General features: G+C 37.7%; 1 protein-coding gene and 1 long non-coding RNA gene across 7 annotated transcripts in view; both read right to left on the bottom strand.

Moving 5' to 3' along the window:
• Positions 1-15,983, bottom strand: part of KCNIP4 (potassium voltage-gated channel interacting protein 4) — a 1,220,167-nt gene that overhangs the window by 788,358 nt on the left and 415,826 nt on the right. The window lies entirely within an intron of this gene.
• LOC124900677 (uncharacterized) lies at positions 3,728-11,473 on the bottom strand. Its single transcript, XR_007058073.1, has 2 exons — positions 4,811-11,473; positions 3,728-4,221 (listed from the first exon to the last, which is right to left on the bottom strand). It is a non-coding gene; the product is annotated as an uncharacterized LOC124900677 (long non-coding RNA).

Genomic DNA, 15,983 nt, shown 5'->3' on the forward strand with positions numbered 1-15,983 from the left:
GATTGGTACAGCAGCCCATGTGTGCAGAGAATGTGATGTAGCATGCCTGGGAAAAATGGGTACAGCTCATCCCAAGTCCATGAAACACTCAGGGGATGTCAGAGAAGATCCTCATAGCTTTTTGTGAAGAACAATGGAAATTCTAAGGCTTCATGAACAGCTGAAAAGTCTAACATAGATAAAGGGGTTGTACATCCTCCATGAAGGCAGGGCCACAGTGAAGCTGAATATACACTCCCAGGAAAATAATGAGTACAACATACTCAGAAACAACCACGTCAGAGTGGGATCCAGGACCCCCTTCCTGTAAATAACCATAAACACAGGTATGAAGTATTTTTCTCCCTCCTTACTCTGCCTCACATACCAGAGGAGCCCAGTCATAAATGACACAGGAAAGAAAGCAGAGAGTTTTGAACCTGAAATGTGATTGGGAATTTCAACGTCCTAACTTTAATAACTAAAATTAATCAGAAAGTTATAGAAGATTCCCAATATGTGAATGGAGGCAAAGAAGCAGGGGAGGTACATAGTAAAATTGGAGACAGTTTGTAAAAGAAATAAAACCGTCTTGTGTTTATGCTCCAATGAATCGAGGTATTTCAATAAACTGGTATGTTTCTGTTAATCATTGATTTTTTTTATCCTGCCTAATACGAGTCATTACATGCCTACACTCCTTCAGGGTTAAGATTATGCCTTACTTATTTCTGTAACAGCAACCCTGTTGCTGACATATTGACTGACATTCATCAAGTACTTGTTGAAGAACTGCTGTGCACATAAATTCAAATCTCCCTTAACAAAAGGTTAAAGAAACAATCATGGGAGTACAATGCCACCACTAGTGCACCTGTGCTTGGTAATTACCCTCTCTGCATGCACAGCTTTCCCTGATACATTGTAGAAGACCTAAACTAGGAAACTTCTAATAACCTCTACCATTTACTGTGGGGTTTGCTATGTGGATGTTATCCTATTTATTCCACACAAAAGCCTACGGTGGTATTATTCTTCCCATCTCACACACAGGACAACGAAAGCTTTCAGAAGACAGGGGCTTGCTTCAAGGTCATACTGCTAGTAAGAATTGAACATGAGATTTCCCATCCCAAGACTTTGAGATTCCAAATCCTGCTCCTATTCCACCCTCCCACATTTTTCATAGTGCCTCATCCCTGAATTTGGAATAAGATCAAGGGTAGTACACACACCCCCTACTCCATCAAACATTCACTGGCTATCCATGGGATCAATATATTGGCCTGGCAAGTCCATAGACAGACACAGTAAGCACGAATGCCTCAAATCCGGCATCACCCTGGGGAGTTAGTTGCAGGAAATTGCTTTCTTCCCTTTCTTCTTCTTTTTTTCTTCAGCAGTCAGTTCTAAGACACCTAGTAGAAACCATTTGCATTTTCTCTACAGTGGAGGAGACCCTAACCCTCTAATCATCAAGGAAACACATATAGGCTGAACAGCAACCTGCTGGTGGGAGATGCAGCGGGTGAAGGTGAGCAGAGGAATCAGTCTATGAAAACTTGAAGCTCTCAGCCCCATTCAGCTCTCAACCACTCAGGGAGGCCTGAGGACACTGAAAGGACCTGAAGAGGTAGGACCTGCCGAGGTAAGCCATTACCACGGCGGATGAAAATATCCCTACGCTGTGGTGGAGAAGAGTCATTTTTCATCTGTATCAGGAATGGGGTTCTACTAAGCTTGTATTTGAAATTACACAATTGAATCCCCTGTAAGTCATCTCTGTTCTCTGAGCAGGCCAGTGATTTCTAAATGTAGACCACATAGGATGTGGCCGAACTGCCAGGATATTTTCGGGGACACTGAAACAGCTCCTTGATAAACCCCTGCATAGCCTGGAGCCCAACAGGAGAGAGTTTGAGCCCTACTCAAAATCATGTTCAGTTTAAGTAACAGCTAAGAGTTGACTGCCTCTTATGGACCATGCACTGTTTTAAGCACTTTAATTGATTTAGTGAATCCTCCCAACAAGCCTATAAAGAAATACCATTATTACATCCATTTATCCCACTGAGCAAACCGAAGAAAATGGGGCTTGAGTAATTTTCCCACGGTCACGGTTATCGACTGATTATTTATGTCTCTCCACCAAATTCACATGCTGAAATCCTAACCCCCAGTGTGATGGTATTAGGAGGTGGGGCCTTTGGGAGGTGATTGAGACTTAAGGGTGAAGCTCTCGTGAATGCGATTAATGCCCTTATAAAAGAGGTCCCAGGGAACTTTGTTGCTCTTTCACCCATGTGAGGATACCTTGAGAAATCAGCCATCTATAGCCCAGAAGAGCCCTGTATTAGTCAGGGTTCTCTAGAGGGACAGAAATAATAGGAGAGAGAGAGATACACACACACACACACACACACACACACACGTATATGTATGTGTATATATACATATGTGTGTATATGTATGTGTATATATACACATATGTGTGTATATGTATGTGTATATACACATATGTGTGTATGTGTATGTGTATATACACATATGTGTGTATGTGTATGTGTATATACACATATGTGTGTATGTGTATGTGTATATACACATATGTGTGTATGTGTATATATACACATATGTGTGTGTATGTATGTGTATATATACACATATGTGTGTGTATGTATGTGTATATACACAAATGTGTGTGTATGTATGTGTATATATACACGTGTGTGTATGTATGTGTATATACACACGTGTGTGTATGTATGTGTATATATACACACGTGTGTATATGTATGATACACACGTGTGTGTATGTATGTGTGTATACACACGTGTGTGTATGTGTGTGTATACACGTGTGTGTATGTGTGTGTATACACACGTGTGTGTATGTGTGTGTATATATTTATATATTTATTTATATATATAAATTATATATAATTTAATTATATATTAATTTTATATGTATAGTTAAGTATTAGCTGATCACAAGGTCCCACAATAGGCCATTTGCAAGCTAAGGAGCAAGGAAAGCCAGCCCAAGTCCCAAAACTGAAGAACTTGGAGTGCGATGTTTGAGGGAAGGAAGCATCCAGCGCAGGAGAAGGATGTAGGCTGGGAGGCTAGGCCTGTCTCTCCTTTCACGTTTTTCGGCCTGCTTTATATTCTAGCCAAGCTGGCAACTGATTAGATGGTGCCCACCCAGATTAAGACTGGGTTTGCCTTTCCCAGCCCACTGATTCAAATGTTAATCTCCTTTGGCAACACCCTCACACAGACACACCCAGGATCAATACTTTGCATCCTTCAATCCCAATCAAGTTGACACTCAGTATTAACCATCACAAGGCCCCTCACCAGAACCAGCCATACTGGCACTCTGATCTCAGTTTTCCAGCCTCCAGAGCTGTGAAAAATAAATGTTTGTCGTTTAAGCCACCAGGTCTACTGTATTTTGTTATAGTAGCCAGAATTGACTAAGACAGTCACACAGCTAAGAATTAGTGCAGCTGGGATTTGAACCCAGGTGACCTCATTCTTAAGAGCTACATCATACTCAAGTGAATAATGTCTCTGCTTTTACAGGTCTTAGTTAAAATTCACAGAAGCGTTATTTTCTGTGGGGGTATCTAATTAAGAAGTGAACTCAGAACTTGGCTTGATGTTTCAGTACAGTGTGTAGCCCTGAGTAAGCAATGTGTTATGAAGAAGCCCACAGAGGAAATTTTGCAAGACAATCTATTTCTCCTTTTACCTTTAACTTGGATAGTTTATTTTTAAATGAAAAATGCTGCCTGCCCACCTGAGAAAATAATTTAGGAAAACATTTCTACCATTCTTGTTTCAATATACTTTATCCAAAATGTGTGATATTTATAGACTACTTCAATTGGGGTAAGCAGTATTCCTGGGTTGACTTTTATGTGGGGAAAATGTATGCTCTTAAGGCATATAAAGATACCGGAGCATTCTTATTCCATTATCTTTTAATTAAATTGCCCTCTATTATCATCTTGAGAAGTAGAATTGTGAACTTGTTGAAGCATAGAATTGGGCATCCAGTACTTTTGTCATAATCACTGCATCTTCTTCAATTCATTTGTCCTTCAGAGCTTTATCTCTTTTGTGCCTTTAATTACCATCTACAACTACACCCAGCTTTGAAACACAGTGCTCCTTCCACAGGGCAGCATCCAACAGGGGCATCCAGTGACATCCAAAATATTTTCAGTGAATATTCTAAGCAAGAAACAGAACAGATACACTTTTCTCAATATTAATAACACACACTAAGAACTGTTCCATGTAATTTAATATAAACTCTCATTTTATTGTGTATACAACTGCCTTCATGTGAAAAATGGGGCCAATGATAGAATAGTCCCTTTAATTCCCACATATGGTTGTGGTAAGGATTCAATGAATTCATGACATAAACTTCATGAACGGACTTAACACACAGCATGTTCTATCAAGTGTCAGCTCTTGCTCTTTTTCTTTGATCTCTCTACTTGGAGGCTTCACAAGAATATCAAAAATAACATATCTAAAACTGAATTCATCCTGTTCCCTAGGACTACTTGCCATGCCACTACTCCCCTAACTTCTCTAACTCAGGAATAACATCATCATATCAAAAATCTGGTTGTAGGGTTGTCATCTAATTATTCCTTTCTTGCATTGCCCAATTGCAAGTCTCAGAGTGGCTGCCTCAAAAATATATCTTGACTATTCATTATCTTCACCCAAAGAACCACCTCCTCCAATTTGGACTACTGAAATGCCTTCCTAAGTGCTCTCTCCAATTTCATTCTTAATCATCTCTTACCTTTCTCTTCATAGCAGCCAGAGTAATTTCTACCCATGCAATGGATGGAAGTTGTTTCAATGATGTGTCTTTCTCAGATGTTCCAGAACAATGTGGAAAGCATGTGTGAATTGTACAAAAGCATCCTCATCCATGGAGAGCATTGTAATAAAAAAAAAAAAGCTCCATTTAATAGTTCTTAGAAGCAGCTGTCTTTCAAGGCATGATACCAACTCTACCTCCTCTAGAGGGTGATGGGGAAACATAGCAGTTTTGAGAGACAATTTAAACACTAATTACTTCAACATGTGTCTGTTATAGTTACTGCTGCATTAATAGAGGCAAATAAGTTGACAGGTGATTGTAAAATACAAGACTATTTTAATATAATATGTGTTAGGATATTTTACTTCAGTCTACACATAATCATCCCCCATGCCAATTGACTGAGGAGATTCATTTAACACTTCAGAGACTCCAGGAAAAAAAAAATTGCAGGCACCACATTTTTTAACCTCTTTATGAGAGCTTTCTAAATGAATAACATTATTGTACAAAATGTTTTAGGCAAATATGTGTAGAGCAAAATACATTTTCACCTGCCACCGTATATTCTGCAGCCTCAACTTTTTTTTTCTTCTAGAGACAGAGTCTTGCCCTGTCACCCAGGCTGGTGCACTCATAGCTCACTGCAGCCTCTAACTCCTGGGCTCAAGCGATCTTCCGGCCTCCTGAGTAGCTATGACTAAATGTGCATGCCACCACACACAGCTTACAGTATATTCTTTATGACTAATCCTTTCTACCCAAAGCAGTAAAAGAAAAAAATAAGACAAAAAATGCAAACTGCTCCTCAAATGCTCCTACCCTTACCCCATCCATCTGTAGCAAAGTGGCTAAAATCATGAGCTCTGGAGATAAATCCTACCTCTACTAGTTACTACCTGTCCAACCATAGGCAAAATTCTCCATTCCTCTAATGTTAAAAGCGTTATCTGTAAAGTGAGGATGAAAAAAAAATCACAATATGTATTTCATTAGATTATTGAATGGATTAAATAAGTTGATATTTGTAAAGTACTTAGAACATTGCTTAGCACATAGTAAAAAATATATATATTTGCTTATTTTTATTCCTGTTGCTAAGGTATAAATGTTTGTGTCCCTGAAATTCCATGTGTTGAATACTAACATTCAAGCTGATGGTGTCAGGAGATGGGGTCTTTAGGAGGTGACTAGATAATGAAGACGGAGCCCCCATAAGGGGATAAGTGCCCTTATTAAAAAAAAAGGGGGGGACACTATTCACCAACTGCAGAGAGCTAGCTAGCCCCTTCCACCATGTTAGGTTACAGCAAGAAGATTGGTCCTCATTGGACATCAAGTCCAGTTTGATCTTGAACTTCCCAGCCTCTAGAAACTGTGAGAAGTAATTTTCTGTTATTTATAAGGTACCAAGCTTATGGTATTTTGTTAAAGAATCCTGAATGAACTAAGACACCTATGGTCTTTATTTTTTATGTGTCAATGCCTCTGTGCTAGATGAGGTGATTAATTCTATAGGTTGTGTGTGTGTGTCTGTGTGTGTTTACCACCGTCAAATGCTATATTTAGTATGAGCATGCACTGTTAACAGTGACTTGATATGATTTAGTCATAAATAATATTCCCTGGAGCCAGGTTAAATGTAAATATGCATCAATTTTGGTAATTTGAAATGACTTAGTCCTCAATAATATTCACTCATCTTTTTCTTTTCTCGTTTCCTTTTCCTTCTTTGCTTCCTTCCTTCCTTCCGTCCTTCCTTTTACTTTCCTTCTTTCTCTTTCTTTTCTTTCAGACAGAATCAGTCTCTATCACCCAGGTTGGAGTGCAATAGTACAATCATAGCCCACTGACACCTCAAACTCTTGAGCTCAAGTGATCCTCCTGCCTCAGCCTCATGAGCATATGGGACTACAGGTGTGTGCCACCACACCTGGGTAATTTTTTTATTAATATTTTCAGACAAGGTCTTGCTAGGTTGTCCAGGCTGGTCTCAAACTCCTGGACTCAAGCGATCCTCTTACCTCAGCCTCCCAAAGTGCTAAGATTACAGGTGTGAGCCACTGTGCCTGGACTTTTTTGCTTTTTGACACCTTTACATGGAGGCTTTGAAGTACTCTTTTAATGATATATTGGATAATGTATTTCTTCCTTAAAACATTAATATGGATTTAGAATATCCAAAATGTATGATATTTCTGCCATGTTTCTTTGCCAACATTTTTTCCATCCTGTGAAGGGGCTCAGGTTTGGTATGAGTCTGAGCCTCTCTCCTCCTCCTTTATTTTCTCCACTCTTGAAAGAATGGAGAGACATAGACATATCTGGGTGGTAGTGTGGGAAGAATAAGCTGGCATGCTCTTCTCTGCTCACTCCTATTTTCACCTGCCTCACTGTGGTAGCCTTTCTTTGCTCCAGCCCTTCTTATGGATGGTTAACAGTGTCTATCATTCTTGGGGTTAGGGTGTGAGCCCATTTGGCTCTCACACTAAACAGATGTTTTGGCTTCCATGTTTTCCCTATTATTTCCCCATGTTTGTCCAGAATCAGATAAGAATGAGGTGCTATTTATTGTGTGTCCCCTAGACATTCCCAAAAATGTTTATGTGACTGTAAGCTCTTGCATCTGATTTTTCCTGAAGTGTTGTCTCATTGAGCTTCTTTCTGACTTATGCAATAGCCACTATGACTTTTTTTTCTTATGCTTCTTTCAATTCTGTGAATATATCCAGTTCTTTTTCATTTTTGGCTTTTACACCTGCTAATGTTTTGCCTTTTTACTCTTCACTTACTTAACACTTATTCGTTCTTTAGGTTTCATTTTAAATATAAATTCTTCAGGGAAACCTTCTAAGTCAGTCTCGTGTTATTCCCTTCCATACCATCTAATCTTTTTCTTCCTATCACTTATTTTTTGAAATATTTTCTGTCTATCTCCATTATCAGATTGTAAGGGCCATGAAAGCAAAGAGTGCTGTCTGTTTGCTTGACTAGTGATTTTTTTTTTATTTTTTGCATCATGCGTAGTGCCTTGCACATAACAGGAAGTCAATAAATATTTGTTGAATCCATGAATGACTTCTGTCTTAATTTACTTGAACAACCACAAATTCAACATATACTATGTGCAAAGAAGTCACTTTGCTATGTTAGTTATGTGCTCCTGCCCTCTGGAAGACTGTTTTCCAATAGAGCCAGTAGCAGCCCAGCTTGAAGCTATCAGAAAGTCATCTTCTCCTTCTCCTAACTTGGGGAATTTCCATGCTTTATTTGACAAATAATAACCAGCAAAGTGCACATCAATAAAGAGCCACTTATTAAAAGAATGAGCAATTTAACCAAAAATATCTCAAAAAGAGACTTCTATGTTAGATTTTATAACCACATGTAAATCACAACAGTATATGGAAAAACACTTAGATCATTATATTTCATTTATTTTGCATAGTTTATCTTTCCAACAATATGGAAAACTTCTAGGAGGCAATAGTCCTAATTTCATCTCTGTATTTTTTAAATGCTTAGTATTAGTTGGACAATTTGTAGGTATTCTGTAAACACATGTTGACTTTACTGTTCAGTACTGAAAAGTAAAATAAGGATGTTCTCATTACTTATGAACTCAAATGTGAAGAGGAGTAGAGAGGCTTACATTTGAACTTCAGGCAAAATACTCAGCCACTTTCCCAACCCCCATAAAAATATTTAAAAAATGACAGATGCCTCACAAAATAAGTGGTATCCTAAATAATTTACTCATTGGTATAGCGGCAGCTCATTTCCCAGAATCTGTAATGACATTTGTTTTTTTATTTAAAGGATAAGAATACAGCAGTGCTCATGTTATCACTAGGGTAATAATTATTGTTGCAAAAAGCAGCTCCTATTCTTCTGGTTGTTTTAAATTGGGGATTCAGAGGTGTAGGAAGAAATTATAGATTATTATTCTTTGCTTCTTAAGTGATGCACTCTTTATATACAACTGAAATAATTAATAGAAATTCAATCTTCAAGTTATTGTGACATATTTTAGGAAATCAGCAGTAATTATTTCCTATCTAATTTTTATAATCATTAGTAATCAGGTAAGAGTTTATCTTGTTTTGAAAATTAAATTTTATTGAGCTTATAAACTACATTACAACAAAGAAAAATAAGGCAATTTTCTTATTACTAAATCAAAAACATTATCCAATTTTTTTTAACTGGAAGTTTTCTTCGATGAATGAATATGCAGATGGCATATGAATGGATGCCATCATATGATGAAAGGATCCATCATGAAAGGATGGATATGTAGACAAACATATGAATAAGCACCTGATATGTTTTGGATCTGTGTCCCCACCCAAATCACAGCTTGAATTGTAATAATCCCTACATGTCATGACATGGACCCTGTGGTAGGTAACTGAATCATGCAGGTAGGTTTTTCCAGGGCTGATCTTGTGATAGTGAATAAGTCTCATAATATCTGATGGTTTAATAAAGGGGAGTTCCTCTGCACATGCTCCCTCTTGCCTGCCGCCATGTAAGATGTCCCTTTGCTCTTCCTTCATCTTCTACCATGATTTTGAGGCCTCTCCAGCCATGTGGAACTGGGAATCCATTAAACCTCTTTCTTTATAAATTATGCAGTCTCGAGTATGTCTTGATTAGCAGCATGGGAACAGACTAATATAGCATTTAATAATATTCTCATCTGTATGTAACAAAATTGAAGTTATGCACCTTTCCTTGATTGATTGATATGTATATCAATCTATTCATATATATAGATTTATATATATATAGCTTATAACTTTAATTTGTCTTAATAATCATGTATCACCTATTGTTCTTGATATTGCACCACAAGGAACACAAGTGTGAAAAAGAATTCTATGAGATCTAGGGGTTCATATTCCAGCACAATGGAGGCCATATTTACAGAGACTAAGTTAAACTCCATACATTTTCCACAAACAAAATTTAACAATTTTTAAGGAAATATTATTAAAGAACGCTGAGAGCACTCCAGGTTGTCTATGCTTCTACTCATTGAAACAACTCACTCCTCCAGTAGCAGATGAGTTTTAATGAAATGCCTGGGCAATGTGAGGAAATGCTTTTTCCTTATCAGATATAACCCACAACAAATCACAAAAGGGTACTTTTTAATAGTGTTTTCAGGGAACGGGTCTACCCCTACCCTTAGGCTGACAATAATGCTTTAAGCTTTTCCTACATACATCTGCACACTTAAGAGGAAAGAATTTGGCTTATAACATTTTAAAACTCATTAATTAGGATGCCACCATTACAAGGGTTATGGCATTCAGATAATGCCTAGGCTGCCGTTTCCATTTGAGTAAAGTAATGGTAGTAAGTGAACATATACTGTCCAAGATAATAATGAATATGATTTGTTGGGTTGTTGATTATATTAAACATAAATACAAAACTGAATAGGACCTCCTAAGGGAGACCCTCAGTTATTCTGATATTGTTCTACTCATTCCCTTACCTTGGCTAATATTTTTTTTAAAACAAGCAATAAGAAAAAGATGAAAGAATCAACAATTCCTACCACATTGAGACGTGGAATCCTTGGCCTATATTACTTTTACACTCATGGAAGATGTTGCAACATAATGGAAGGGGCATGGACTTGGGCCGCAGGAAGGACTTGGTTCAAATTCTGGTCCTGACATTTCTAGTGGGGTTGCCCTATTTTTTAATCAGTAAAATTGGACTAAAACCTATCTAAGGATTAGTATAAATGTGAAATAAATGATGGATGTAAAGAGCCTACCACAGTAGTTGGCATATAATAGGTGTTCAAAAATTGTTAAATGACTCTTACATTGTAGCTGTTACAGACGTAAAATTCAATGGATAGAATAGAAACCATTTACAATGCCTTGAAAAACTCAACTACGTCAGATTTAAAAACTGATTTGTATAATCACGAAAAGGAAAAGTAGGACAATCACATTAAATATTGTATAATCAGACTTTGCAAATTCAATCTGAATTTCTTTCTAATTAGTCAAAATTAGTGAGGTATGGTTGTTGCATCTCTTAACTACTGTACCACAGGGTCCGGTCATCACCTGCTTCTATTTATGTTTGCTGTTCCCGTAAGGAATCCTCCTAGGTACAAGTCCCATTAATAGAAGCTGGAACATTGCCTAAATGAAAAATTTTATGTATTCCTTACTTCCTGAAGGAACTGCCACGGGGTCGGTCCTAATCAGCACTTCATTTTAATACAGTATCATCGAGTTCTAAGGATTAATTTTATAAACGATTAATGAAAGTACTTAATTGAATGTCACTCTCTGCTGCCTTCAGCTATTACAGGTTGTTGCTCTCACTGATTCCAGATCGATGCTTTTTTAAACACTCAGCTTTGCAGTACTTTAAACTACTTTGCAGTCTCTAAACTTCATTTAGAGACTCACCTGTGGCTCAAATAAAACAATCTGGGATTTGAGTTATTGTTGTTGTTGTTTTTGGAATGATTGTACAATGCTTGACCAGCGACAGTTCATGTTGATTTCCTCCAACAGTTCATGTTTGCTTTCCTCCATAGAAACAGAAACTCAACCGGGCATGGTGGCTCATGCCTGTAATCCCAGCACTTTGGGAGGCCGATGCGGGTGTATCACGAGGTCAGGAGTTTGAGAGCAGCCTGGCCAATGTGGTGAAACCCTGTCTCTACCAAAAATACAAAAATTAGCTGGGTGTGGTGGCGGGCGCCTATAGTCCCAGCTACTCAGGAGGTTGAGACAGGACAATCACTTAAACTTGGGAGGTGGAGGTTGCAGTGAGCCAAGAACGCGTCACTGAACTCCAGCCTGGGCGACAGAGGGAGACTCTGTCTCATAAAAAACAAAGAAAGAAAGAAAGAAAGAAAGAAAGAAAGAAAGAAAGAAAGAAAGAAAGAAAGAAAGAAAGAAAGAAAGAAAGAAAGAAAGAAAGAAAGAAAGAAAGAAAGGAAGAAAGGAAGAAAGGAAGAAAGGAAGGAAGGAAGGAAGGAAGGAAGGAAGGAAGGAAGGAAGGAAGGAAGGAAGGAAGGAAGGAAGGAAGGGAAATTCAATTTTGGGGGTTGTGGCAAACACTACAGCTAAGCTGCAAGTTCTTGCACCCTTACAAGTGGTCATGTGGCATGGCTTTCGGCCAATGAAAAGCCTGCTTAGGATTTCTGCAAAAGTTTTGCTGTCCTTTTACAGGTTTTGCCCCTTCCTCCATATTGCTTCTGTTCTTTCCTCCTGCCCAGAGCATGAAGGAAGATACAGTGCAGCAGCTATTTTTGAATTAGGAGAATGAAGACTAAGGAGACTGGAATAGAATCAAGATTAATTCAGCAGTTACCATAATAGGCAGCAGCATGGATTTGGCCCATAGACATTATTTGCTGACCCCTACTATAGACAAATGGATTAAGTTCAGCCCAGAATCAAGACAGAATAGGAAGGGAAATGATAATACAAACTGTGCAACTGCAGAAGAGGAGAAAGGGTGCAAAATACATTAAGAACACCTGTGTCCACAGCTCACTCAGTGACGGAACATCAAGTACCAAGGATATGTACAAGTTCCAGACAGTGGTTAAAGCACACTTCCTCAGGTTAAGATAAGTTCAGGAAGTGGAAAAGTTCACACTACAGCTGAGATAATTCAGTTTTGAGATAACAGGATGAGTTGGAGCTGAAACTAATGGAATGTGCCATAAAATTGTATAGAAATCAATCTTAGTTTTTTTTATCTTCTTTTTCTTCAAAGAGGGTTTGTTATAATAAAATATTCTCAGACCTCCTTCTATCCTTGTTATACTTTTTAAGACACCCTGGATGGTAGTAAATCCTTGGATTCCATTTCAGGATATAAGCAGAAAGAGATGGGAAGAGACCATGAAATCTCTCAAGAGAGAATGTCAAGAGAGGCATTATCATCATTATGGTCTCTCTTGCATGATCTCAGGTATTATGAGATAAAATACAAGTGTACTATTGCTTTGTGAATCTGAGGCTATCTGGCCTTTCTTAACATGAAATACATCATGGCATGTCTTGAAAACTTAAGCTTTGATCATGTTCAGTGAATAGAGAGGATTGAACGTTTGATCAATCTAATGAATTGAAACACAGTTCGCGAGGAACTCTGAAGACTTTTCATTCTGTCATCATTCCACTATGTGGTAAATAATAGCTAGCACATATTGATCACTTATTAGGCATCAGGCACTTTGTAGTGCGCTGTATACAGTCTACAATTGAGCGCATCTAATCTTCCAAACAGCAGTATAAGGTGTCATGACCATGCTAACTTTTCAGACAGTCTTATAGGGAAAGGGCAAGTTTCTTAACCTCAATTTGTATGAAGCACTAAGATATTTCAATGAATATTCCGGATCAAATGTGTTTCTCCTTATAATTTTTGGTGGCAAAAAAAATCTGCTGTCAAATACATAATGTACTTTTGTTTCCTAGGTTATACAGCTCTAGCTACAGTCTTGAGCCCTACACAACCCTGAAACTGGGAGTAAACAAATGTCACAAACATGACTGTATTATTCTTTAAAACATTTTATTTACAATTCAGTTTGGTGAGTAGTTGTCTTTAAAGTTTTTATTCTTTAAATATTTGCTTTTCTTTCTATTTTATAATATATCAATACTTAGGAAAATACAGTCTGAATAAATGTGTATAACTTTTCAAAATAATTTTTAAGATACCAGCAAAAATTTGGTAAAAATTGGGCAAATAATTGTTGATATAATATATTAATGCACAAGGAAGGCAACGCATAGACCATGAGAGCTCTCAGCTCTTTGTAAATGTCTTAAAAGCTACATAGGACTCATTGTTTAAGCTAATTCTATATCATTGGATAAGGAGTTATCAAAAGCTTCCAAGTACCACAATAAAATAAGTATATTAATTTATTTGTTTATTCATTCAGTAAATATTTATTGATAATTTTTAAGGATCAGACTAAACAAGATGGACCAAGTCCTGGCTTTCTCAGCACTTGCACATCAACAGACAGCTGTGTCCACAATCAGTAAGTTGAGGATGGCAGGACAGATCACCAGAGCATAAGCAAAGGTATGAGCTACACTCACAGCTAAGACACTGAACTATCTGCCCTGGGTCTAAGCAAAGGCCACAGGGTTGGTTTTCCAGAAGCTCCAAGATAGGTGCATGTATATCCAGATCCAATGTTCACAGCTTGGAACTGTAATCTTTAAAAGCTAAGTTGAGGGCTCAAGTCAAAACATTTCTCTCCCAATAAAAATCATGACTACTTGCAGAAGGAAAAGCCTGGCTATTTGGTTTTTAGGGAGTCAGGAGCACTAACCTGCTCTTTCAGCTTGCAAGCTTGCAATTCTAGGCTTCCAAGTGAAAACCAACCTGCTTATCTTGCCTCATCTAGAATTAGAGGGGTGACAGAGGAAATTGGGAAGTAGTTTTGAAAGCTGCAGTGCCTTCCTTCCTTTCCTTCTTTCTCTCTCTCTCTTTTCTTCCTTCCTTCCTTCCTCCCTCCCTCCCTTCCCCTCCCCCTCCCTCCCTCCCTCCCTCCCTTCCTTCCTTCCTTTTTCTTTCTTTCTTGACAGTCTCTCTCTGTTGCCCAGGCTGGAGTGCAGTGGCACAGTCACAGCTCACTGCAACCTCCACCTCCTGGGTTTAAACAATTCTCCTGCCTCAACCTCCTGAGTAGCTGGTATTACAGGTGCTGGCCACCATGCCTGGCTAATTTTTGTATTTTTTAGTAGAGATGGGGTTTTGCCATGTTGGCCAGGCTGGTCTGGAACTCCTGACCTCAAATGACCCAACCACCTGGGCCTCCCAAAGTGCTGGGATTACAGGCGTGAGCCACCGCACCCGGCCTAAAGCTGCAGTTTCTTTAACTTGTTATTTACTATAATGTCAGGAAAGGGCAAGAATCTTGAATCTGAAATAATAATGATGACAATGGGGTTGAAAAAAAGTAAAAAGTTATTGCCTGGAGGTAAGATTATTTTTTTTAACCTAGTATTTTAAATATATTATTTTATTCTACTTTAGGTGTTAAATACATGAAGTAGTTAATTGTCAGCAATAATATAATGTAAAGTCAAAGTACAAGAAAGTCTTATGCTTTCAAGCCTTGATGTAAAAAATAATTATATGAAGTAAGTTAGGAATGAGGTGGGTAGGAAATTGAGGGTGCCTTGCTATTTTCAGCAACTGTCAGAGTGTTCGGTGCATGATACATATTTTCTGAATATTTTCAGAAAATCATTTCTGATGTGTCAGTATACTTTGAGTCTTGGAACACTTAACTGCAAAACGAAGTCGCTGTGATAGAGAAAAAGGAATATGTATATATAAATGCAGAGATATAATGAGATAGATGCACATTTACATTTTGAAAATCAGGTTTTCTTCACTGCAAAAATATGTGGGGTTCTTCTGAGGTTAATAATTATTACATAAGACCAATGATAAAACTGCATTTCTTTGTTATGAAGCCTAAGATATTAGGTGTGTTTTCATGCAATTGCATTTTAAAAACAATTCTTGCAATCATCTTATTTTGTAGTGATGTTCATGAACATACTTAATAATAGATACATTTTTTATTACAACAAAATACTACTTTAATAAAAACACCAAGTTATTTCGAAATGCACAGGAAAAGTTTCTCTCCATTGTTGTGCATGCTGAAAGACCACAGTGGGAAGCACACAGGCAGAGGGAAATCTCAGAAATATGAACTGTAACACCACACATAGCAGCATTCTGGTCTCACAAGTCAGTAGATACTTTCCCCACTAAAATTTTGTTTCAATAATTAATATAAGCTTTTTTCATCTGAAGTATCTCTAAATCAGAGAAGGTTAAAATCAATCTGTATGTATGAACTTGCTGACAAGCTAGTGTAGCCACTTGCCTTTAGGTTTTTATTATTTTCCCAGTGGCTGATGGGCAGGCAGCAGTGTTAAGCCTGCTAACTGAAACATATTCTAAATTATATGGATCTCTGGAGGGGATGCATTCTACTTAACCTTGGCGTTTGTTTTAAATTACAGGAATCTACCATATTATATTATCCAAGATTTTTAAAAATAGCTTTTATTCCTTTTCTAAATTGCATCTCAAGGTTGTTAGATTTCCT

This window comes from Homo sapiens, chromosome 4, assembly GCF_000001405.40.
Source record: "Homo sapiens chromosome 4, GRCh38.p14 Primary Assembly".
NCBI classification, from domain to species: Eukaryota; Metazoa; Chordata; class Mammalia; order Primates; family Hominidae; genus Homo; species Homo sapiens.